This window comes from Homo sapiens, chromosome 6, assembly GCF_000001405.40.
Source record: "Homo sapiens chromosome 6, GRCh38.p14 Primary Assembly".
NCBI lineage: Eukaryota > Metazoa > Chordata > Mammalia > Primates > Hominidae > Homo > Homo sapiens.
Window position 1 is genome coordinate 170,164,964 of NC_000006.12, and position 25,041 is coordinate 170,190,004.

The 25,041-nt window shown below is 55.2% G+C and overlaps 3 annotated features.

The window, feature by feature from the left end:
• Positions 15,913-16,120: a silencer, noted in NCBI's record as "fragment chr6:170496100-170496307 (GRCh37/hg19 assembly coordinates)". NCBI's record gives its function as "represses an EF-1alpha promoter that drives an FKBP-Casp9 reporter gene in an ReSE screen in K562 erythroleukemia cells {active_cell/tissue: K562}" and the evidence as "EXISTENCE:reporter gene assay evidence [ECO:0000049][PMID:32094911]".
• Positions 20,733-21,307: an enhancer, noted in NCBI's record as "H3K27ac-H3K4me1 hESC enhancer chr6:170500920-170501494 (GRCh37/hg19 assembly coordinates)". NCBI's record gives its function as "activates a minimal SCP1, AML or CMV promoter by ChIP-STARR-seq in naive H9 embryonic stem cells {active_cell/tissue: H9 hESC(naive)}" and the evidence as "EXISTENCE:reporter gene assay evidence [ECO:0000049][PMID:30033119]".
• Positions 24,007-24,507: an enhancer, noted in NCBI's record as "H3K4me1 hESC enhancer chr6:170504194-170504694 (GRCh37/hg19 assembly coordinates)". NCBI's record gives its function as "activates a minimal SCP1, AML or CMV promoter by ChIP-STARR-seq in primed H9 embryonic stem cells {active_cell/tissue: H9 hESC(primed)}" and the evidence as "EXISTENCE:reporter gene assay evidence [ECO:0000049][PMID:30033119]".

A 25,041-nucleotide genomic window follows, 5' to 3' on the forward strand; every position in this document is an offset into this window, starting at 1 on the left:
TCAGTCCCCACTCCAAGGAGAACTTCAGACTTTGAGAAATCGTAAAGGAGGGTCTGTAAACGAGAGGTCAGAACGAACGAGCTTCCAGGAGTGACTCCCCAGGGTGCCCTTTTCCGGGGCCATCCCCACAGTGACCTGGCATGAGGTCCAGCCAGAGCCAGCACAAGGGACCCGGATGGCCACCTGGTTAGGCACGGATCCAGTGCTCCCTACGCCCACTTCCAGCTACAGACTCCTGGGACTTCACAGGAACCCCTGCTGGCCACCGCCTGCTCCTGCCTGGAAGCTGGAGTTGGGAGTCAGTCAGGGCTGCTCTGCACTCTGGCCAGACTTGCTGATTCACCCCATGAGAGTGGGCTCGTCCCAGTCCCGGCCACCCCCTGCCAGCCCCAGCCATGGTCGCCGCCCTCCCAGCAGGCCTGCCTCTCTCTGGGGATGGCTTGTGTTTCGGGGTGGGGTCATGCAGTCCGTCCAATCCCTCACACACATCACCCACCCCGGTGCTCTCTCCCCGCAGGGGCCACGCAGCCCCCATCCATCCCTCACACAGATCACCGCCCCCCTCCCAGTGCTCTCTCCCTGCATGGCCACACAGCCCATCCGTCCCCTCACAATCACACCCCATGCACTCTCTCCTCACCTGAGCTTCGCAGCCCTTGAGATCACCAGCGTCGTCATGCCGGCGGCTCAGGGCCATGGCAGCAGATGCCGGCTTCCCCTTAGAAACATCCCAACCACACAAACAGCCTGTTCCCTCACCTCCTCACCTCCTAATCCTGGAAAGGGAGACTCAGAAGTTCCAAGTGCAACATTCCTGGGACTCTAAAAATAATTTACAGAGAGGCTGCGTGGGCTGGAGCACCAAGCCCAGAGCTAGGGAGGCTGCAGCTGGGCCATGAGAGGTGTCGGGCGCACCCTGTGTGTGGAGCCAGGCCCCTCTTTGCGAAGCTGGGGATGGCCCAGGTGGGCTCCTCACGGCCCAGCTCTGACCCTGATGGTCTTACACCCAGATAGGACCTGGGCACCGTGGGCATCGCACTGCAGCTGCAGCGCTGAACTGTTTTATCCATGAGACAACCAGCAGGCAGGAGGAGAGGGAGAAACATGTCTCAAAAGAAAGCGACGTCAGGTCGGGCGACAGCACAGTGCACTGCCCCGGGAGCACAGGGAATGTGGATGGGACGGGAGGCGGCTGCTGTTAAGCACATTATGTGAGTAGAGACAAGATTAGAGGAGGCTGAGTTAACGAGACAGGAGAAAAGTCTGGTGAAATTTGACATAATATTTACAGATATTTTATCTTAATTCTCAAAGTGCCTTAAAATTTTGATATTTCTATCGAATGCTTTGGGGTCACAATATGATGTTGTCTTTAAGAGAAATTCTGAAACCAAACGAGGGGGAGTCCAGGACGTGGATGTCAGCCTGATGTCCTCCACAGACGACATCTAAAACCACCACGGCACGGCTGCTCTTCCCTCACAGTGAAAATGATGGCAGCCACGAGGGGGTTAAATTCACTCCACTCCAATCCAGTGAGGGAAAACCACGTCATCCGGGTGCCCGCTGCCCCGCAGGGATCCACATGCAGGCAGGCAGAGCCAGGTGACCCCGGCACCCGGGGAGGGGCTGCTCCCGGAAGGGCCTGGCACAGCATTCACCAGACGTGCCTGCTTGGAGCAGGTCCCTGGCAAGGCAGGTGCTACTCAACCTTCTGCCAAGGATAACCACGGCTCCTGCATCCACGGAGCGCGTGGGCAAGCGTGTAGGAGACCAAGCGGACCTGTGTGTGAGAAGTCCCTCTTTGGTGCTCAGCCGGCCGCCCGAGGCACCTGCCACTCCAGTGTGTCCTCCATCTCCCAGGCTGGCCTGCCCTTCAGACTTTCCAAGACTTCAGAGACCTCCAAGTCTGCCCTGATTGTCCCATCCGCTGGCCACCTGCAGGGAAGCCCTGTTTCACCGAGTTTCTCAGAGCCCACACTGCAGGTTGCTGGGGGCTTCAGGCTCCTGGGGCAGAGCTGGAATCTGGGCGCGCGCCGGCCCCACCGGTCCCGGTCTCACAGGCGCGTCTCAGGCTTCACGCCTCCCTCAGTGTCAGTGGCATCACCCCGTCCTCCTAAACACGGCCAGCTCAGTCGCTGATAAGCTGAGGGACAGAATAAAGGAACTTAGAAAAGACCCCCAAGCTGACAGTTGCTCTGGAAGCCCCCACTGTGCCCAGGTTGAGGCTGCTGTCCCCTCCCAGCTTCTCTCAGGACCAAAGCCCACCCCCAGGACGGATGCCTCCGCAGAGGCGCAAGAGAGCTCTTATTCCCGCAGTCTAACCGTGAAAGATCCAGAAAGTTAAAATACATCTCTTCACGCACATGAGGCACTCAGGACTGTGGTTGGCACAATTCCTAGTGCTCCACAAATTGTAGTTACCACTTCTCAAAAAAAAAAAAAATGTGGGGGTGCAGGGAAGGGGCTCTGCCTGGACACTTATCTCCCTCAGGTCTCCTGAGCACGTGACTCCCAGGGATGGGGTGACCAGCGTTTCCCAAACACTCAACCTGGGGACACTCTGGCAGGGAGCTCTGAGCAGAACGAGGGATCCACCACGCTCCCTTTGGGAAACATGCCGCGTTCACATGAAGACTTTTGCAGGAAGCCAGGACATCGTTCAGATGGAGCCGCCAGTGCGGGCTCCTTGCTGAGGTGCCCTGAGGTCAGGTGGGGAAATGCTGACGTCTTTAATGGGCAAGTGGGAGGAAGAACCCTGCAGCCTTCCGGACACCACCCCAGGGGACAGGAAGCGCCGCTCTGTTCCGGCCCAGCGTCCACTCTCACCAGCAATTCCGTGCCGTCTGCTGGGAAGCGCGGCTTGCACAGGGCCTGGCCGATGTGGACAGGCTTCGGTGCTGGCTGCTTTTGACACAGACCCAGGAGGGAGCGCAGCCCCAGCCCTTGCTGACCCCAGCATCTCCAGGGCCAGCCCCAGCTCTGCCCTTTGGAAAGGAGGGGACCTGTTCTGGCTGGTGCCATGGCGGGTGCCACTTGGATTTCACGACCTGGCCATGATCCCCACGGCCCACTCCTTGCTGTGACCTACAACTGCTTCTCCGACCCCTCTGCATGGTGGAGTGCTGCACTGGAACAGGAGTGGCTGCCAGGCCGGTTCTATTGGTTTAGCTGGGGTTGTTACTGCCTGTTCCGGGTTGTTACTGCCTGCTCAGGGTTGTTACTCTCTGTTCCGGGTTGTTACTGCCTGTTCAGGGCTGTTACTGCCTGTTCCGAGTTGTTACTGCCTGTTCCAGGTTGTTACTCTCTGTTCCGGATTGTTACTGCCTGTTCGGGGTTGTTACTCTCTGTTCGGGGTTGTTACTTTCTGTTCGGGGTTGTTACTCTCTGTTCGGAGTTGTTACTGCCTGTTCGGGATTGTTACTGACTATTTGGGGTTGTTCCTCTCTGTTCGGGGTTGTTACTCTCTGTTCGGGGTTGTTACTGCCTGTTCGGTGTTGTTCCTCTCTGTTCGGGGTTGTTACACTCTGTTCAGGGCTGTTACTGTCTGTTCGGGGTTGTTACTGCCTGTTCGGGATTGTTACTGCCTGTTTTGGGTTGTTACTCTCTGTTCCGGGTTGTTACTGTCTGTTCGGGGTTGTTCCTCTCTGTTTGGGGTTGTTCCTCTCTGTTTGGGGTTGTTACTGCCTGTTCGGGGTTGTTACTCTCTGTTTGGGGTTGTTCCTGCCTGTTTGGGGTTGTTCCTGCCTGTTCGGGGTTGTTCCTGCCTGTTCGGGGTTGTTCCTCTCTGTTCGGGGTTGTTCCTCTCTGTTTGGCGTTGTTACTGCCTTTTCGGGGTTGTTACTCTCTATTTGGGGTTGTTCCTGCCTGTTCGGGGTTGTTCCTGCCTGTTCGGGGTTGTTTCTGCCTGTTCGGTGTTGTTCCTCTCTGTTCGGGGTTGTTCCTCTCTGTTCGGGGTTGTTCCTCTCTGTTGCGGGTTGTTCCTCTCTGGGGTTGTTACTGCCTGTTCGGGGTCGTTACTCTCTGTTCGGGTTGTTACTGCCTGTTCGGGGTTGTTCCTCTCTCTTCGGGGTTGTTACTGCCTGTTCGGGGTTGTTCCTGCCTGTTCGGTGTTGTTACTGTCTGTTTGGGGTTGTTCCTCTCTGTTCGGTGTTGTTCCTCTCTGTCCAGGGTTGTTCCTCTCTGTTCGGGGTTGTTACTCTCTGTTCAGGGTTGTTACTGCCTGTTCAGGGTTGTTCCTCTCTGTTTGGGGTTGTTCCTGACTGTTCGGGATGTTCCTGCCTGTTCGGGATTGTTCCTGCCTGTTCGGGGTTGTTCCTCTCTGTTTGGTGTTGTTCCTCTCTTTTTGGGGTTGTTCCTTTCTGTTCGGGGTTGTTACTGCCTGTTCGGGGTTGTTCCTCTCTGTTCGGGGTTGTTACTGCCTGTTCGGGGTTGTTACTGCCTGTTTGGGGTTGTTACTCTCTGTTCGGGGTTGTTACTCTCTGTTCGGGGTTGTTCCTGCCTGTTCGGGGTTGTTCCTCTCTGTTCGGTGTTGTTCCTCTCTTTTCGGGGTTCCTCTCTGTTCGGGGTTGTTCCTGCCTGTTCGGGGTTGTTACAGCCTATTTGGGGTTATTACTCTCTGTTTGGGGTTGTTCCTCTCTGTTCGGGGTTGTTATTGCCTGTTCGGGGTTGTTCCTCTGTGTTTGGTGTTGTTCCTCTCTTTTCGGGGTTGTTCCTCTCTCTTCGGGGTTGTTACTGCCTGTTCGGGGTTGTTCCTGCCTGTTCGGTGTTGTTACTGTCTGTTCGGGGTTGTTCCTCTCTGTTCGGTGTTGTTCCTCTCTGTCCGGGGTTGTTCCTCTCTGTTCGGGGTTGTTACTCTCTGTTCGGGGTTGTTACTGCCTGTTCGGGGTTGTTCCTCTCTGTTTGGGGTTGTTCCTGACTGTTCGGGATTGTTCCTGCCTGTTCGGGATTGTTCCTGCCTGTTCGGGGTTGTTCCTCTCTGTTCAGTGTTGTTCCTCTCTTTTCGGGGTTGTTCCTTTCTGTTCGGGGTTGTTACTGCCTGTTCGGGGTTGTTCCTCTCTGTTCGGGGTTGTTACTGCCTGTTCGGGGTTGTTACTCTGTGTTTGGGGTTGCTCCTGCCTGTTCGGGGTTGTTCCTCTCTCTTCGGGGTTGTTACTTCCTGCTCGGGGTTGTTCCTCTCTGTTCGGGGTTGTGCCTCTCTGTTCGGTGTTGTTCCTCTCTGTTCGGTGTTGTTCCTCTCTGTTCGGGGTTGTTCCTCTCTGTTCGGGGTTGTTCCTCTCTGTTCGGGGTTGTGCCTCTCTGTTCGGTGTTGTTCCTCTCTGTTCGGTGTTGTTCCTCTCTGTTCGGGGTTGTTCCTCTCTGTTTGGGGTTGTTCCTCTCTGTTTGGGGTTGTTCCTCTCTGTTCGGTGTTGTTACTGCCTGTTCGGGGTTGTTCCTCTCTGTTCGGGGTTGTTACTCTCTGTTTGGGGTTGTTCCTGCCTGTTCGGGGTTGTTCCTGCCTGTTCGGGGTTGTTCCTCTCTGTTCTGTGTTGTTACTCTCTCTTCGGGGTTGTTCCTCTCTCTTTGGGGTTGTTACTCTCTGTTCGGGGTTGTTACTGCCTGTTTGGGGTTTTTCCTGCCTGTTCGGGGTTGTTCCCCTCTGTTTGGGGTTGTTACGGCCTGTTTGGGGTTGTTCCTCTCTGTTCGGGGTTGTTACTGCCTGTTCGGGGTTGTTACTGCCTGTTTGGGGTTGTTCCTCTCTGTTCGGGGTTGTTACTCTCTGTTCGGGGTTGTTCCCCTCTGTTCGGGGTTGTTCCCCTCTGTTCGGGGTTGTTCCTCTCTGTTCGGGGTTGTTACTCTGTTTGGGGTTGTTCCTGCCTGTTCGGGGTTGTTCCTGCCTGTTCGGGGTTGTTCCTCTCTGTTCAGTGTTGTTCTTCTCTTTTCGGGGTTGTTCCTCTCTTTTCGGGGTTGTTCCTCTCTCTTCGGGGTTGTTATAGCCTGTTTGGGGTTGTTCCTCTCTGTTCGATGTTGTTCCTATCTTTTCGGGGTTGTTCCTCTCTCTTCGGGGTTGTTACTGCCTGTTCGGGGTTGTTACGGCCTGTTTGGGGTTATTACTCTCTGTTCGGGGTTGTTCCCCTCTGTTCGGGGTTGTTACTGCCTGTTCGTGGTTGTTACTGTCTGTTCGGGGTTGTTACTCTCTTTTCGGGTTTGTTACTGCCTGTTTGGGGTTGTTCCTGCCTGTTTGGGGTTGTTCCTCCCTGTTCTGGGTTGTTACTGTCTGTTCAGGGTTGTTACTCTCTGTTCAGGGTTGTTACTGCCTGTTCAGGGTTGTTCCTGCCTGTTTGGGGTTGTTCCTCTCTGTTCTGGGGTTTTACTGTCTGTTCAGGGTTGTTACTGCCTGTTCAGGGTTGTTCCTCTCTGTTCGGGGTTGTTACTGCCTGTTCGTGGTTGTTACTGTCTGTTCGGGGTTGTTACTCTCTGTTCGGGGTTGTTACTGCCTGTTTGGGGTTGTTCCTGCCTGTTTGGGGTTGTTCCTCTCTGTTCCGGGTTGTTCCTCCCTGTTCTGGGTTGTTACTGTCTGTTCAGGGTTGTTACTCTCTGTTCAGGGTTGTTACTGCCTGTTCAGGGTTGTTCCTGCCTGTTTGGGTTCGTTCCTCTCTGTTCTGGGGTTTTACTGTCTGTTCAGGGTTGTTACTGTCTGTTCAGGGTTGTTCCTCTCTGTTTGGGGTTGTTACTGCCTGTTCGGGGTTGTTACTGTCTGTTCGGGGTTGTTACTCTCTGTTCAGGGTTGTTACTGCCTGTTTGGGGTTGTTCCTGCCTGTTTGGGGTTGTTCCTCCCTGTTCCGGGGTTTTTACTGTCTGTTCAGGGTTGTTACTGCCTGTTTGGGATTCTTCCTCTCTGTTCGGGGTTGTTACTGCCTGTTTGGGATTGTTCCTCTCTGTTTGGGGTTGTTACTGCCTGTTGGGGGTTGTTACTGCCTGTTTGGGGTTCTTCCTCTCTGTTCCGGGTTTTTACTGTCTGTTCAGGGTTGTTACTGTCTGTTCCCGGTTGTTACTGTCTGTTCAGGCTTGTAACTGCCTGGTTCTGGGTTGTTAGTGTCTGTTCAGGGTTGTTCCTGCCTGTTTGGGGTTGTTCCTCTCAGTTCGGGGTTGTTCCTCTCTGTTCGGGGTTGTTACTGCCTGTTTGGGATTGTTCCTCTCTGTTCGGGGTTGTTACTGCCTGTTGGGGGTTGTTACTGCCTGTTTGGGGTTCTTCCTCTCTGTTCCGGGTTTTTACTGTCTGTTCAGGGTTGTTACTGTCTGTTCCCGGTTGTTACTGTCTGTTCAGGCTTGTAACTGCCTGGTTCTGGGTTGTTAGTGTCTGTTCAGGGTTGTTCCTCTCAGTTCGGGGTTGTTCCTCTCTGTTCAGGGTTGTTACTCTCTGTTCGGGGTTGTTACTGCCTGTTGGGGGTTGTTACTGCCTGTTTGGGGTTCTTCCTCTCTGTTCCGGGTTGTTACTGTCTGTTCAGGGTTGTTCCTCTCTGTTCCGGGTTTTTACTGTCTGTTCGGGGTTGTGTTACTGTCTGTTTAGTCCTGTGAGATGCTGCACAGGGGGGTGCACAGTTCTGGGTACCAGAAAGGGCCACATGGATGCTCAGTGTCAGGTCCCCTGTGTTGTGCAGGCCTGTCTCTTCACAAACACTCCCACGTGTATTTAGCATGTACATGGGCTGCGTCAGCACTGCCCTCAATGCACATTAGGAAGCCAGTTCCTGAACATAGCCCCCTAATTACAGCACCAGGGAGTTTACTGACAAACTGGCCCCTCACCTTACTGAAAAATTTACATGGACACAGCCCTCAATCATCTTAGGTCACCCACTGAATTTCTAGGCAAGGACCTGTTTTCTTTCCAGGGAAGCCACGCGGGCCCACATTTCACTGCTTCCGAATCAGCTCCAGCCACCCCCGGCGTGACGCAGCCGAGCAGCTGCCCGGCCATGCCCACCCGTCCCTGCCCCTGACTCTGCCGTAGCTGATTTGGGGGAGGCAGGGGGCATATAAACGTGAATTTGCAGCATGCCGGGCGAAGACGATCGTCGATTAGCAAGTACTTTCATAAATCCAGAGTGAGGCGGCAACAGAAAAATGGCTGAAATGGCCTCACTGACTCACTGCCCCTTTATTCAACAACATCTGTGGGGCCTCCCGCGAGGCAGGCGCTACTGCGCAGGTGCACGGGGAAAGGGTTCCTCGTGGCCAGCGTCTCTGCACGCCACGCCTTCCATAAGGCAGCACTTCTTACCCCAGCTCCCCCTGTCGTCTTCCAGGGCCGGTCTCATTTCAGCTTAACATTCCTAGACCAGCCTACAACACCCTAAATAATTTACCCCAAAACCTCAGTCTCCCTGTCTCTGTCCTAAGGACACCAGCAGACTCATAACATGAGGCAACCCTTTCTTTCTCTCTCTGATGATGTAAAGCTGCTTAATTTTTTACTGGCTAGGTCTGCTCTCCCATGAAATATTTATTCCCACGTGGCCCCAGAGCATTTCTTTGCTTGGAAAGCAGCCCCCACCTCTGCCACCCCAGAGAGGAGACATCGGAGCTCTCAGGAGGGGTTGACTCAGAGAGGAGAGGACAGAGGGGAGCTGTATTGCTGGGGACCAGGCTGGGGTCTCAGGGCCTGAGCCCCCTTCCCTGACCTGCACCCAGCCCTGGCCCGAGGCAGCCAGATGAGGTCATGGTCACCATGAATATTTAAGGAGATCGTTTTAATGTTCACACATGGATTGCTGCTGAAATGCAATCCCCCATCACCGTAGGTGCTTCCTGGATGCCCTGGAGAAATAGGTCTCTGTGGAACCAGGGCCAAGGGAGAGGAAGAAGGGGCAGGGCCCTGACCAGGACTCAGCTGTGAGGCAGGGCCCAGCAGGCTCAGGAGTGCATTGTCTCAGGGAGATCGACATGGAACACCAAACAGCTTCATTTTATCATGGCAGCCCCTCCCGGTTTAGACCAGGAAAATTAATTTGTAAATGCTCTAGAAATAAATGAGAGAGAGAGAGAGAGAGACAGAGAGAGAGAGACAGAGACAGAGAGACAGAGACAGAGAGACCGAGAGACAGAGAGACAGAGACAGAGAGAGAGAGACACAGAGAGAGAGAGACAGAGAGAGACAGAGAGACACAGAGAGAGAGAGAGAGAGAGAGAGAGAGAGAGAGAGAGAAGCCAACACTAACCCTAGCTGCTTCTGCTGCTTCTGCCGTTTAGGAAGCTTGGCAGGAGAACCACCTCCGCCTGCCCCTCAATCTTGGCCTCCAACTTCCCAGTTTCTATTTCAACCAGAAGAGAAAATGCTGAGCCCTCACTGACCATGGGAGAGTCAGCTGCTCAGCTGCTCAACCCCGCGGCCTCAGAAGGGGCAGAGGTCTCAGGCCTACCGGCCTGTGGTGGCCTCCTTATTCTCCAGAGCCGTCCTGGGCCAGGGGCCGCCCAGCCCACTGCCCGAGCCAAGCACCCTCCCCGCTAGGGCCAGACGGAACCCCATGTGGGGTGAAGGCAGAGCCAAGCTGAAAACCAAGGAGAGGCTGTACCCAGGCAGTCCCAGCCACCTGCAAGGGGCAGCACCGTCCAAGATTCCGTCGAGTATGAGACACCTTGGAACGTTATTTAGACAGATTCGTAAAACGTTTTATGCCCAGGGATTTGATAAGCCTTTGAAACATGATAACTAAATATAGAGAAGCCACAGAAGCAGAGAGAGGTCCACTTGGCTCAGGGGACGGCACTGCTTTCCTGGGGCTGGGGACCCTTAGCAAGTGCTGGCACTGGGCACCCACACAGCAGGAAGGTCTCGCAGTCCTGGAGGCCGACGTGAGACCAGGCATCTGGCAGGGCCAGGCTCCCTCTGAAGGCGCCGGGAAGGGCCTGTCCCAGGCCTCCTCCTGGGCTTTGGTGGGCATTTTCTCCTGCCTCTGTGCCACCATCCCTCTAGGCCCGCCTGGGTCCACGCCCCTTTTATAAGGACACTGGTCACACTGGTCAGGGGTGACCCCGTGGCCTCATCGTCACACACACCTTCAATGACCCTGTCTCCAAAGAAGTCACGCTCTGAGTCTAGGGTCAGGCCGCCCACCTGCGGATGTGGGGGCACAGGTTAGCCCATCACAGACCTGAGTCCGCGGCTGGGCCCAGCCACGACTCCGCGACTACCCCCCAGCCTCCCTCGAGGAATCACATGTTGTGGTTTCTTAGTGGGTAGATTCATGAGTTACCATATGGGATTACAGGGTGCTCGCTGAGCAGCGTGACGGGGTGGGGGACACAGTCATCCCCGGAACTGAGCACTGAGGGAGGGCACCTGGGCTGAGGGGGTCCTGGGGCGGCTGTGGGCCCAGCAGCATCCTGGCCTGGGGCAGAGCTGACCGACCCCTTATGTATGACCCGGCCAGGCGGCGAGGCCAGCACCCCCAAGTCCTGGGCCGGACACCAGATGCCAGAGCTTCACGGAGCCCCTCACCCACCTGCTCACCTCAGCGGCTGGCACCAAGGCGCCAACAGCATCCCACAGCTGGGGAGGAAAACTGGAATGCAGGCCCCCAGTGCCAGCAGGGCTCGCTGTGAAAGGAGAGGTGAGGCTGGGTCCGGATGTCAGGCAGGGGCAGCTGCCGCCGTTGGGGCCTGGGCTCCATGGAAAGGGGCTCAGGGAAGGGCCCGTCGCGCACCCCAGTGACACGTGTGCAGTGCTGGAGGCCCACGGAGCCCCGCAGGCTGGGGGGGCTGACCCCGAGGGACCCCATTTGGCAGGAACGTGGCTCCTCCTGGTGCCCCCGGAGGTCCAGAGCTCTCCCTGCAGCCGAGGTCTGCGCCCCGGGCAGCCCCCGCCCCCGCCCCCGCCCCTGCCCTGCTGAAACAGCGTCCTGTCGCCACAGGGCCGGGGGCCTCCCAAGGAGAACTTCGGGGGACTCTTCCCACTCCCTCACTCTGCGGCTACAGAGCCCCCCAGCCGGCTTGGGAGCGGAGAGGATTCTGGGCTCGGCCCCTGGAGGGAGAACGCAGCCCCCCTGAGCTCTGAAGCAGCACCGGGCTGTGGCTCAGAGGGGCGGGCAGCTCCTTGTGAACGAGGCCCTTCTCAGGAGTTCCCACAGACGAAGCCATCCCACTACACAAACAGCCCCTAACGACCCTTTTCTGAAACCAAATTTAAAACGAGACGGCAGGAAAATGGAAGGGGTCCTGCTCCCGCCGCGGCTTGCCTCACTCGTAAGTGTCGGCAGCTGCTGCTCGCTTCTCAAGGTCGAAAGGAGCCCCCTGGACAGGACTCAGCAGGACAACGGGGCAACCTTCCAATTTCAAAGAAAACCGCTGCCCTGCCCGGCGTGGGCCCTGCGGGGCCTGAGCCTCGCGGCCTGAGGCCTGCCCCCTCCGCAGGGCTCCTCCCCAGCTCAGCCCCGTCCCGGACTCAGGGGGGCCCTGGAAGGGCGGGGGCGCCTGGGAAGGACGGGAGGGGTGGGGGCGGCGCACAGCGGCCAGGGACGGAGACTCTGGGAGCCGGGGGGACCCACAGAGGGCAGGGAGGCCATGGCTTCCAGGCGGGGCTGCCCATGAGTTCTGTGTCCGCCCCCGGCAGGGCTCGACCCTGGTGCGTCCCCAGCATGTTTCTTGGGGGCGCTGGAGGCTGCTGATGCTGCCCAGAGTGGCCGGACACTCCTGCCCGAGGCCTCCTTCCGCCCTGAGCCCCCCAAACGTGTGGAGTTGGGAAGAGGAGCGGGCCGGGAAGGAGGGCGCGGGGGAAGGAAAATGGAGAAATGAGGAAAACGTGTCGGTTCTAATAAAACCATGTCTCCCTGTTCCCGGGCACGCAGCGGGGCAGCTGGCTCCGGAGGCGGGGCCGCCCACTCAGCACAGCCGCCCAGCCTGGCCGGCTGTAAACAGCTATTACTGCTGATCAAAGGCGCTACAAGGACTTAATCACAGGGCTTAAGGTGAAGGAAGTGAGAGGGGGCTGCGCACGACGGGGCACAAACGCGGCGTTAGGTTTCCACGCACCGCGATTCCCGCGTGCGGAGCGTCGGTCCCCGCCCTCGACAGCTGGAGTGGGGCCAGACGGCCGGGACCCCAGAGTTCAGAGGGCCACTGTGGCCCACCCGACAGCCACGTATTCACATGAGAGGGTGCGGGTTTCACCTCTCAAGGCGAAGGAGCCTCGCCCGACGCTGGGTGGTGAGCACGTTGAAGATGAAAACATCTGAGAGCGCCGTGCAAGATGGGCGACGTAGGAAAAGCAAGGAGCGCAATTCCGCCTCAGATGGCAGAGGGGCAGCCGGCAGCGGGGGAGGGGCAGTCGGCGGGGGAGGGGCGGCCTGTGGGGGGAGGGGCAGTCGGCGGGGGAGGGGCAGCCGGCAGCGGGGGAGGGGCAGTCGGCGGGGGGAGGGGCAGTCGGCGGGGGGAGGGGCAGCCGGTCGGGAGGCATCCAGGGGGAACGGGGCCCTCCTCGCTGCCTGCCTCTTGGACAGAGCCCAGGCGGCCGGTTTCAGCTCTGAGTCCCACAGCCACCACCCTCTCTAGGCCACGGACATGGTCCTCTTGAAGGTTTCCTGCAGCACCCACACCCCTGGACCTTATGGCTGCTGTGCCTCCCCAGAGAGACGCTGGAGGGGGAGGCAGCCCCAGGGAGTCCTAGGGACAGAAAACGAGAGCGACCTTTCAGGCGCACCACAGATCACGCCACTCTCCTTGTGAGATCTGCGCTGCTGTTTGTCGCTACTTCTAGAACAAAATCCAGAGCTGCAGCTGCCCCCAAGGTGCTGAGACCCACCCGCGCCCCCAGGCCCACTACCCATGCCCTTGGCTCATGGATGCACTGAGGCAGCCTCTGGGGCTCGGGGCTCAGGCCTCAGCTGGAGCTCTGGCCTGGGGCCTTTGCACGGCGGCTGCTGCCATCTGCTCCTCCCTGGCGCTGTGGGGCCAGCTCCTTTCTTCGAGTTCTCTCACTGGACGCATTGCCACCTCACACGGGACCCCTGACCCTGAGCTGGCCGGGTGGGGCCAAGTGACCCCAGCACCCAGGAAGTGGGCCCCCGCCCAGAAGCTGCTGTTTGTTTCTTACTAGCACCTAATAAGTTGGAATGTACTTCGCAAAGCCGTGGCTTTCGTTGACTGTCGACTTGTTCAACACCGCATCCCAGGTCTGTCTGTGCTCAAAGAAGAGTGAGTGCCTGACCAGAGGCGACCGGGGCATCCAGGCCTGAGCCACACAGCCCTCTGTGTCACACACACGGCTGGACTTCTCTCTGGCGCGTCCTGAGGCTGGCGGGCGTCGCCTTTGCAGGTGTATGAATACAATCTTCCCACCGTTACTCAGCAGGCACAGGCTCCTGGGGCTCTGCCCCTTCACTGGATGCAGGAGAAAGAATTCTGGGTAGGCAGGAGGGTGCCGGGCTCTGCCAGGGCCATGTTGGCCACGGGCAGGGCAGCCCAGGCCTCTCTGGGCCTGTTTTCTGTCTCGTTTCTTCTCTCCCAAGTGTAGCAGGATTGCAGAGTGGGGTCCTTTCCAGGTCTAAAATCATGTAGCCTCTTGTTTTCCTGCTGTGCATGTGTGGGGAGGGAGATTCAGATGACTGTGCACAGCAGAGGTCTGCAAACGAGAAGACAGGGTGCCTTCGTCTAGGACCCATTTGGGCTGCCACAGGCAAAATGACACATTTCCTGGTAAAGGTGACTGGCACGGCTAGGATCCTGTGCCCTCAGGAACCCAGCGAGCTGGAGCTGGTGTTCAGTAGCTGATGGCGTGGGGCTTCCCTGGCTGGGCCCATGCAGGTTTGCTTAGGCCGGTACACTCGCGTGGGGTCCACACTGCCTGAGGCAGGCACCCCCGCGCCCCATCCTTGTAGGTTTGTAATATGAGCGCCTCCTCCAAGCAGCCCGGAAGCCGGCCAGGCCCTGAATGGGTTCTGGAGAGTCTTGCAGCCCCATCCAGCACATGACCCAGGACAGGGCCACCCAGCTGTCCTCCCCAGCCCCATCCAGCACCCAACCCCACCCTGCATCAGCTGCTCTCCTTGGAACCAAGCTTGCGGGGTGGGGCAAAGGTGACCCCAGCACGCAGCACGGTGCCAGGCATGGAACTGACACGTGATGCCCGTCTGTTTAACGAGTGAACAAAGGCACCAGAGGCTTTCTTCCCTTGAACACCAATCTTCCAACCTAGATTAGCAGCCGAGCGAGAGGTGGCGTCTGAACAGCCTAGATTAGAGGCCGAGCGAGAGGCGGCGTCTGAACAGCACCCTGGGATCAGGCAGCGCACGCTTCCCACATGTGTCTTGCTCGTTCACTAAACAAATATTTGTGCTTGGCACCAGTTGATATGTTGGCATTGTGTTTCATCTGATTGTGTGTTATTTAAAAAACTCCTATTACTAAATCCATTAAGCAACCAAACTGCTAGAGTCACTAGATTAAAATGCATGACACACAACTACAGGAAAATGTCAGGAAATGCAAATCTAGGCAGGCGTCCTCAGACATATCAGCTATGAGGAAACTCTCTCTAGGAGATCTGTGTTTTCCTCCCAAAAGAAGATCATCTTTCCAGAAAAAGAGGATTTTACAGTCAATTTGCTAACATAATATAAATTTGTCTCCTTCCGGGGACTTATATATGTTAGTACATAATTGGTGTCTTTATTGATGGCTGTAAGAACCAATACCTCCAAAATAAACAGAATTTGTACAATAGTAAAGCCATTTAAAAAGGCATGCTCCACTTTATAGAATATAACTTATTAATCACATTTTGAAAGAATAGAAATGCATTCACTCTTAAGATTGCAAGCTGAGCATATGCTGAAGTCTTTCCCCATATGCACATCAAACTGTGAAATGATAGGAAAAAATAGTAAACATATGGAGAGGCATCTGGAAAAACAAAGAACAGGAATTCTCTGAGAATCAGCAGCTCTCAGGAAACCCGGACAGGTTCCATTAAAGATGCAGCTGCCGTTCCAATATTCGCCCACTCCTGGACTGGCTCATGGGAGCACACAGCCACTCCAGGAGTTCCACGCCAGGGAGGAAGGCAGGCAGGTGCATCCTGGAGAGCACACGGGAGTTCCCCAGGTCCCAGTAGAAGGGGCTGGCTTTCCAACTGCTACCGATCCCCTTACCCAGGCTGGGAAGCTGGCAGAGGGGTCAGGACCAGGCAGAGCAGCAATTGGGCCAGGGAGAGGAGGCCGCGCCAGAGATGTGCTGGGGAGGCCTGAGCCAGCCCAGAGAGCAAGGTTCAGAGGTCAGAGGCCACTCATCTCCCACTCTCCCTGGGATAACCCAGAACTCAAGCCCCAAAAGGTGACTTTTCTGGCAGGCTGTGTACGGGGGAATAACTACCTCAAAGACGACCCCACAGTCAAATATAGTCAGACGTCTGAAGCATCAACGCCATGAAGACAAGATTACCAAAGAATTTGCACTTGAGAAAACTGAGCTAATAGCACCACCGAAACAGAACATTTAAAGTGTAAGCAATAGCCTCAGAGAGCCAAAAGGAACATGCAGTATCTGCGACTCAGGAATGGAAAGTTATGAGTAAGAACCAATTAGAAATACAGGAAATTAAGGATACATTTGTTGAAACTTAAAAATTCAAATTATGCTTTGAATTTTAGAATGAATATAACAGCACTGTGAGTAAATGAGCTTTAAAAACAAGCAGAGAGATTTTTCCAGAATGTCAGAAATCTAGATGGTGTTAAAGTTGAAAGACATGAAAGATTAACTGAACACACATGTTCGCTCTGGCTCTTGGAGGAAAGCGTGGAGAAGTTAGAACGCCAGCCCATGGAGGGATGGTGCAGCTGTAGGCACTTCCTCTGCACTTTGACAGGAATACATTTGCGAGGTGTTTACCGATGGTCTTCGTCCCCACCCCACTCACCTAATTCTCTAACGTAAGAGGCCTCCGAAGTGATCACGCGTATGTCCCAGTACCAATGTTGCAGGCTCTGGAGAGGAGTGTGCCCCGCTGGGAGGGACATTGACGCCCACTAAACATGGACACCTGGGCCACTGCGCTGGCACCGGGAGAGGCAGCGTGTTTATGGTTGATTGACAGGAAGTTTGGTTGGAGCACAGTTTTGCTATCCTCTTCAAACACACACAAAGAGGTGCGTGGGGCACAGGTCAGCACTGGGTGGACGTGGTGGCTTGTTTTGGGTCAACTGGGTCAGCTGGGAGGGTGGTGAAAGAGTAATTTTGCATGGAATCTGCAGGCAGACGTGGGGCGGCAGTCGAGACCCTCCAGCAGGGCAGGGCAGAGCACCCCACAGGTTCCCGTGGGCCTCACTGTCCCTCGCAGCCTCCAGCTCCTCTTCCCAGCGGTGCCCTAGGCTCACCAACAGAGCTTTGGCTGAAAACTGCGGAGGCCACAGCCACACAGAGCACAGCCTCCCTCAGGCTTCCCTTGAGCTCCTGCTTCACCTGAGAGCTGGGGACACCTTGGATTCTCATCCTGGCTGGAAGCACCGTGTCTGTCCCCAGCTTTCCTCCCAGACCTCCACGCCCAGCTCCACAACTCCTGTAGCAAAGACCTCACCCAGTAACACGGATTGATTAGGGACTGCTCTCCACACTCCCATGGACCCCTGAGTAAGACACCAACAAGTACTTGTTGATGGTCTAGCTTGAAAGGCACTGTGCGAAGAGCTGGGAACTCAGAAAAGGGCCAGATGACGCTTCTGTCTTTAAGGAGTTTGTCCTTTATTATGCTCATGGTCCAAAGGCTCTGCTAGGATGGGTACGAAGAACTCCTTTTCCTGTTCCACGATTGTCCATGCTGTCAGGGCTGCTGCTGTCATATTCTGTAAAAGCTGCTCATGCACCCATTGCTGGCAAGGACTTAGAGAAGCTGGAGCTCTCATCACTCATGGGACTGTGGGTCACTGCCATTGCTTTGGAGCTCCTTTCTAGTCTCCACTACAACTGAACCTTTAGTAAATGGACACCCTGCGGTCCAGCAGCTCCACACCTAGAAACCATGCTCACAGGAATTTTCCTGGGAGTGCTGCCCTCCTCACAGCCAAAACCTGCTGGAAGCCACATGGATGCCCATCAATAGTAGAGGGATGCCTTCTGTATCCTCCACAGTGAGAATCCACACCTACACCCACAGGCAGGAACACGCACAAATCACACACAGGAAACAGCAAGAATCCACACCTGCTAGCGGGAACACATGGAAATCATACCCAGGAAACAGAATCCACACCTGCAGGCAGGAACACGCACAAATCTCACCCAGGAAACAGTGAGAATCCACACCTGCAGGCGGGAACACGCACAAATCACACACAGGAAACAGCGAGAATCCACACGTACACCTGCAGGCAGGAACACGTGGAAATCACACACAGGAAACAGTGAGCATCCACACCTGCAGGTGGGAACATGCGGAAATCACACACAGGAAACAGTGAGAATCCACACCTGTTGGCGGGAACACGCAGAAATCACACCCAGGAAACAGGAAGAATCCACACCTGCAGGCAGGAACACGTGGAAATCACACAACAGGAAGCAGCAAGAATCCATGCCTATACTTGCAGGCAGGAACACACACAAATCACACACAGGAAACAGTGAGAATCCACACCTGCAGGTGGGAACACACGCAAATCATACAGACGAAACAGTGAGAATCCACGCCTACACCTGCAGGCAGGAACACGCGTAAATCACACACAGGAAACAGCGAGAATCCACACCTGCTGGTGGGAACATGCATAAATCACACACAGGCAACAGTGAGAATTCACATTTGCAGGCAGCAACAAGTGTAAATCACACATAGGAAACAGCGAGGAAGAGACCAGAGGCACACGGATCATATTGTTCGATTCTGTCTACAGAAAGTTCAAAATCAGAAAAAACTGATCTGCAACATCAGAAATCAGGCTGCTCCAGGTGGGAGACAGGGGCACACGGTGACACTCCGGGGAAGGGACCAGCTCCCGGTGGCATCAGGCTTCCTCGCGCAGGTGCTCGGCTGTGTGCTTTGAGAGCTTCGCATTGTGCACTCAAGATTCATGCTCTTTCCTCTTCAAACACAAAAGTGTATTTCCCTGAAGTTACCCCTCTTTTTCTAATCTTTTTATTTCGTGCCCTAAAAATGTGTTGTCTTGTCATCATCCTCTAGTACCCAGTCAGAGTGAACAGGCACATCTCCGCAGTTCTCTTTGTGTTTTTCATGATAGAGGGCATTGTGCGCTCAGGATCTTCACAGAGATCTTTTGATGGTGGTGGTGGTAAAAGGAAAACCTTAGACAAATTAAATTGAACAGAGTTTAATTCAGCAAAGAACACTTCATGAACCAGGCAGCTCAGAACCTTCAGAAAGACTCCAGCATAGCCACGTGGTCAAGATGGTTTATGGACAGAAAAAGGAAAATGAGGCATAGAATGCAGGGGTGAGGTACCGAAACTGCCAGATTGGTTACAGCTCTGCATTTCCCTTATTTGAACACAGTTTGAACAGTGGGCCATCTTTGATTGGCCAAAACTTGGTGATTGGCACAAGAGTAGGTTACAGTCTGTTTACAGATCCAGTTAGGTTACAGTGCACTATGTAGAGAGAAACTTTTCAAATAAGAAAAGAGGCAACTTTAGGCTAACTTAACAGTGGTGATAGTGATCATGATGATGTTGGTAGTGGTGATGATGATGGTGATGGTGATGATGGAGATGGTGGTGATGGTGGTGTTGGTGTCAGTGATGGTGATAGTGATAGTGATGATGATGGTAATCATGGTGGTGGTGATGATGGTGATGATGTTGGTTATGATGATGATGGTGATAGTGATATGGTGATGGTGATGATGATGATGATGGTGGTGATGGTGCTGATGGTGCTGATGGTAATGGTGATGGTGATGATGGGGATGAGGGTGATGGTGGTGGTGGTGATGGTGATGCTGATGGTGATAGTGATGGTGATGATAGTGATGATGATGGTGGTGATGATGATATTTATCTCAGTGCATGTGACAAAAATGAATTGAGAATACTAATGTGTTTGAATTATTAGATAAAAGATATAATTAAAATTCAAAATAGTGTTATTTTATGCCATGCTCCCAGCTCTAGCTGGATTTCTGAATTACAATTTGGATCAGCAATGCAAGAAGAATTATGGCACTCTTTGGGAAAACCACAGTATGCCCTTTTCCTACTGCTGGTCACTTTTATTTGTAAACACTTAGCAACAACTGGAAAGGATTTTAGACAGTGAAGCACCTCCTGCGACCCCCTTTTCATGAGTACATGAGAATTCTTCCCTAGGGATGTCACTGTCAAACACAGACAAACACATACCCACGGCGACAGCCAAGGAACACCTCCCTCATTTCCATTTTCCACTTGGTTATCCAGAGGGTTAGAAAGAAAGGCGAGGACAAGACCAGAGTGACAGCCCAGAAGCCATGCTCCTGTCAGCACTTCCCAAGCCACAGGCTGCTTTGTGTGTCTGGGCCCATTTGCATGGGGAGATGGGGCTGGGTTTTGTTTGCAGCAGATACTGGGGGAGCATAACCAGAGGCAGACAGCAAGGCCACAGCCACAGCAACGGCCCGCCGGAGCCACAGGAGGGGCTGCTGATTCCGGAACTGCAGAAGGTGCCTGCCACCAGCTTCCTGTGGCCCTGGTAGTTTTCATGATTCTTGGTGACTGTTGTCTCTGTCTGTGGCAGAGGTGAACCAACAGCTGGCACATGTGGCAAGAGGATGAGACTTAAATGTATTCTCACTTCCAGAACGTACTGCAGCTAGGAGTGGGAGTCATCTGCCATCTTCTTTTTTTTTTTTTTTTTAATTTGAGACAGAATCTCGCTCTGTTGCGCAGGCTGGAGTGCAATGGCACAATCTTGGCTCACTGCAACCTCCGCCTCCCAGGTTCAAGCAATTCTCCTGCCTCAGCCTCCTGAGTAGCTGGGATCACAGGCACGTGCCACCACATCTGGCTAATTTTTGTATTTTTAGTAGAGACAGGGTTTCACCATGTTGGCCAAGATGGTCTCGATCTGCTGACTTCGTGATCCACCCATCTCGGCCTCCCAAAGTGCTGGGATTACAGGCGTGAGCCACCGCGCCCAGCCTCATCCCCGCCTCATCTGCCTTCTTTAGGTCTTTGTCTTCACGTATTAACCAATAAGCATTAAATAACTAATGATGTTTTTCCCAATAATCCTTGTGTATCTAAGGATGTTTATGATGTGTCTGCAACTTTTCAGAAGTTTAGAAAATATAATTATTATTACTCGACTTCTGGCAAGCAAGGGGAAAAAAGTGAATCACCCCTTCAATGGAGGCACCAGCTGCTCACCTGAGCATCGCCCCAGGGAACGCTTTGCCAGCCCCCCATCCTCCTCCTGTGCTCCACAGCACGCTGTGCAGACGCCACACACACAGACTCTGTCCGTGTGTGCCCTCAGGCTTCAGTCCCTGCGGTATCGCCCATGCTTAGAGGCCGCCCAGTGCTCAGTAAGTGCTGGCAGAATCGGGTACCGTTTTCTAGAAAATGTTGTAATTCTAACGCCTCTCTTTGTTCTTTCATTTGCATCAACAATAAAATATTCTTAAGCCAGGGATGCCCGTCCCCTCACACAGAATTCTGATCACATGATGCTTCCATAAAGTCTAAGAGACCTTGTCAAACGTCCCATTGTCACTGGCAGGCAGGACTCGGACACTGAGATTAAAGGGGCCCACCGTTCCCTTCACAGAACCAGCATCTTCACTCACCGTCGGACGTCCTACCGCTCGGCTTACCTTCCCGGCTCATGCAGCGATCCACGGAGGCCGGGCTACCGATGAAACCTCACCCACCCCAGAGCTCACCTCCTTTACTTTGGGAAATGGCGGCAGTTCCATCAGCTTCTGGAGAAACAAAGAGAACTCAGGTGAAGTGTGGAGCCAAGAGCCCAGAGAACCCAGCCACCAGCTCCCTTTCTTCAGACATCTCGGCTTCCCTGGGACTGAGGCCAGCGTGAGCTGGAGATGTTCTCAAGGCCGCGTTAATCCTTCTCAGAGGCAGCAGTGGAGGGGGCAACGTGGGCTCGACCCAGCAACCAGCTCATCCAGCCCCTCCCGTTTCCTTCCTGCTCTCCTGAATCTGCCCTTCCTTTAAAGCCGGCACAGGCCAGGCTGGGCTCCAGACGCTGTCCCAGGTGAGCCACGGGGTGTCTGGTGGCGATGCCATGGTCTCAGGCTGCCGGGGTCCTCTGTGTGGCCCGCTTTCGCCCAGATCACTCACGGCACACCCTGCCTGGCAGGAAAGAGGGGCCCTGCTGCCCCACCCCCATCTCTGACAAAGACGCAGGAATCCTTGCGGGCATGCAGACCCAGCACCACTAGGGAAGGCGACACCTCACTGCAGGGACTGCAGGGGACTTGGGCTCAGGGAAGCCCACCGTGGTCTGCCCGGGAGGAAGACTGAGGGAGGCCTCAGCTGCTGTCTGGCCACACCCCTGGGGGCAGATTGCTTCTGGGCTACACCCGTGGCCACATGCAGCCTCCTCCCCACTCCCCACACACACCTGTGTGCACACAAGCGGCTCCACCCTCTGTGGCCAGCTCAGGATACCCCCTGGGGGTGACAGGGTCCCTAGGTGTAGCCCCACGTGGCAGAACAGCCGCAAGGAGCTGAGCACACGAGCCCAGGGGAGTTTGGTGCAGAGGCCGAGGTAGAGACCTTGTGGGGAGAAATCTTACCAGCCAGAGCGAGGGCCGTGCCAGGCCGGGCCTGCCTAGACTGCAGCCTGCCCCAGCACTCGCCTGAGACCTGGAGCTGAACTCCAGCCACACCCGAATGTAAAAGGCCAGGGTTAGGGTTAGGGTTAGCCAGCCTGCGGGAAAATCTCTTCTGCGTTAATGCTAAGAAAACACAAAACCCAGCTTGCACTGGGAGCCCAGCCAGCCCAGGACAGACCACATGCCCTGCGGGGGCTGAGCAGCATCCACCCACCTGGAGGCAATTGGGGCAGAAGGCCCTAATTACACACGACACGTGGGACCCTCAGCTGCAGGTTTTCTGACTCCTCCCAGACAGCCAAGACCTGCTCCAGACCCCATGCCCACCTGGGTAAGCATGCAGTCCTCACCCTGGGGGGGCAGGGAGGGAACACCCCCACTCCACCACCTGGCAGCCTCACACCTACCCAGCCCAGCCCCGATGACAGGATCAGGACACCTGGCTGGGTCCCCAGCCTCTCGGTGTCTGCTTTTTCTTGAAGCCCAACATTGTCCAGGCCAGGTGCTGACACAGCGGCGGGAACAGAACCCGCCCTGGCACGGACAGCAGGCAGCCCGCAATGAGGTTAGTGGGAATCTCACCCTGGGGTCACAGAACTGGGGCAGCCAGCCTTGCCAAAGAGGAGCTGGAGGCTCCTGGTGTAGGGGCCTCCCCTCCTCCCAGCCCGAGATGAGACCACCAGGAGGGGAGGCATGGACCGTATTCCTGGCAACAGGTCCAGGGGACACCCGGTGAGGGGCAGGCCCCCCGCCCCGCCCCAACAGATGCTCCTGGGCCTTCTGGAGGAGGGTGCAGAACTCAAGGGCAGTGGCCACTGCTTTGCTGCCTTCGTGTGAGGCCGTGAGGTCTACTCGTGAAGCCCACTCAGTTGACGGCCACATGTCCCACCTGAGGTGCAAGTGTTTCCTTGGTGAGAGCTTGTGGCTGTGACCCCCACAAGGAAGCATGGTGCCACCGTTCCTGCATAAGAAACAGCTGAGTGCATACCAGACCCCGAATATGATTCCACCAAGGCAGCCAGCCCCATCTCCACGCCAGGCCCTCTCCTGTCCTGCCTGGCCATGCTCTGACCTCTCATGCCCAGTCTGGCTCCTGTCCGCTCGTCCATGGCTGCCTGGATCCCGGGCCCCTTGTCCCTGAGCTGTGTCCCCTTCTTCCTCATCGGGAGAGGTCCACTCGCCTGCCTTTGGGGTCTCTACTGCCCGGTGAGGTCTGGGATGCTGCATCCTGGCTCCTGATTTATGCCACACAGCCACACCGTCACCTCATCGCACGGTGTTATGGAGACTCTGCATTAGCAGTGAAGATGTAACACGTGCAAGGCCCTGGAACTAGAAAATGGGGCAGGAGGAATCCTACAGGGGACACCCGAAAGCCCAGCACCCGCAGTAAACTTCTGCTCCTCACAGCCAGCCTGGGAGGGACGTCGACAAGGACACCGTGCTGTGGGGCAGAGGCACCAGCCTCGCTGCTGGACTGGCCCTGGGGAGGCTGGTCCCACCATGCATGGTGAGAATAAAAATCCTGTCCTCCAAATTCAAGAAAGGACACACCTGACGGTTCTTTGGCCTTAGAAGCTGTGAACAAGTAAAACACAAAGGTGACTTAAGCCCCGTCCCAATGGGTCAGCGACGACACTTCAGAAGCTTCTGAAAGGTGGGACCTTGCCCTTACCAGAGCGCCCTGCAGGGATCACGCCCCCCTTGCTTCTGAACCTTTGCTGGTTCTGGACTCCACGCTTCCTCAAAGGCTGGGCAATATCTGCTTTTCGCTGTGTTCAGAGACCGTGCCTTGGAGATACAGCTCTCTACTGTGCAAGTAATAATTCCCCTTCATTTCAGATGCTGGAATTGATTTCCTCCTTCCACAATGGCGGGGGGAGGCCAGCCAGGTCACACTTTCCCAGGAGCCAGGCCAGCTGATGGACCCAGGAAGCTGGAGTTGGAGGGCAGCGGAGCCCCACAGGCTCTTCTGTGCACTGGGAGCAGGGCCCCTGGCTGAGCCAGCAGGACAGGATGGGCTCCAACCTTAGGGAACAGGTCTGGCCCAAACAAGCAGGTGGCTAAGAGCCTGGTTACACCAGGGGCACAGGGGACAGCTGCAGCTTGAGTGGGAAGGACACTGGGCCGGGCTGGACTGGGGAGAAGAGCAGAGGAGGTTCTTCGTCTGTTCTGGGAATGGAGCCCAGTGTACCTCCAGGGTGCATGCCAGACCCAAGCTGGGGCAGGCAGGTGCACGGAGGCCGAGCTGGCCAGCCTGTTTGCAGGCACAGGGTTCCCCACTCCAGGTCCAATCCAGGAGCCAGCTACGAGCCCCCTGTTTATTCCAAACAATTTAACATAGATTGCAACTCCAGGTTAAAAAAAAAAAAGTATTTTGCAATTAGTCACAACAGAGCCATCCTATAGACAAAAAAAACCCATAGTTGAAATGCTAGATAAATACTATTTTCTAAGAGACTCTTTCTTCTCAGCCACACCAAGTGAGAGCAATTCAGGTGCTGGACCTCAAGCCTCAGAGAGGATTCTGCTTTTCCTGTAAGTTCAGGGATCTTCTGTCACCTCCCCACAATGTCGATCCACAGAGCTGCATACAGCAGCTCAGGCCTGGCACACATCGGGCCGGCCTCCTGTCTTCAAGACTCCATCATCACCTCCTCCGGGGACCTGTCCCAAGCAGCCCCAGGTCTGTCCTCCTAGGGCCCACAGCCACTTGAGGTACAGCGTCCGCGCAGCTTCCTCACTGTTCCTGCCAGACAGCCAGCGCCGTCCCGACATGACCAGTGCCCAGCATGGCCTGGCACAGCCCAGAGGCACTGTCCATGCTGCTGGGCACGGATGTCACCAATGGCTGGGTGGGCTGCACGGCCCTGAAGGCAAAGTTCCAGGGTTGAGAACAAATATTTAAAAAAGGAAACCATATCTGGAGCCTACTAAGATTCAAAAAGCTTCATTTTACTCCATCTTCTTTCCATCTAACTTGGAAAGTACTGATTTAGGTCTGCAGACACCGGGTAGAATGTTTCACAAACCCTATAAGATTTCAGTGAAGTCTCATGTGGAACAATCTATGCAGGCCTTTTCTAAATGCCACTGGCGTGAAGGAAGAGCACCTGATCTATGCAGGCCTTTTCTAAATGCCCTTGAGGTGAAGCGTCTGTCACTTGTGAATGCTCAATCATTTCACATTCTATTTCTCTCTCCTCCCCTTTCCCACCCCCACCCCTCAAAAATTATGAATTTGCGTTTTTATTCTAGGCAAAAAATAAATAAATAAATAAATAAC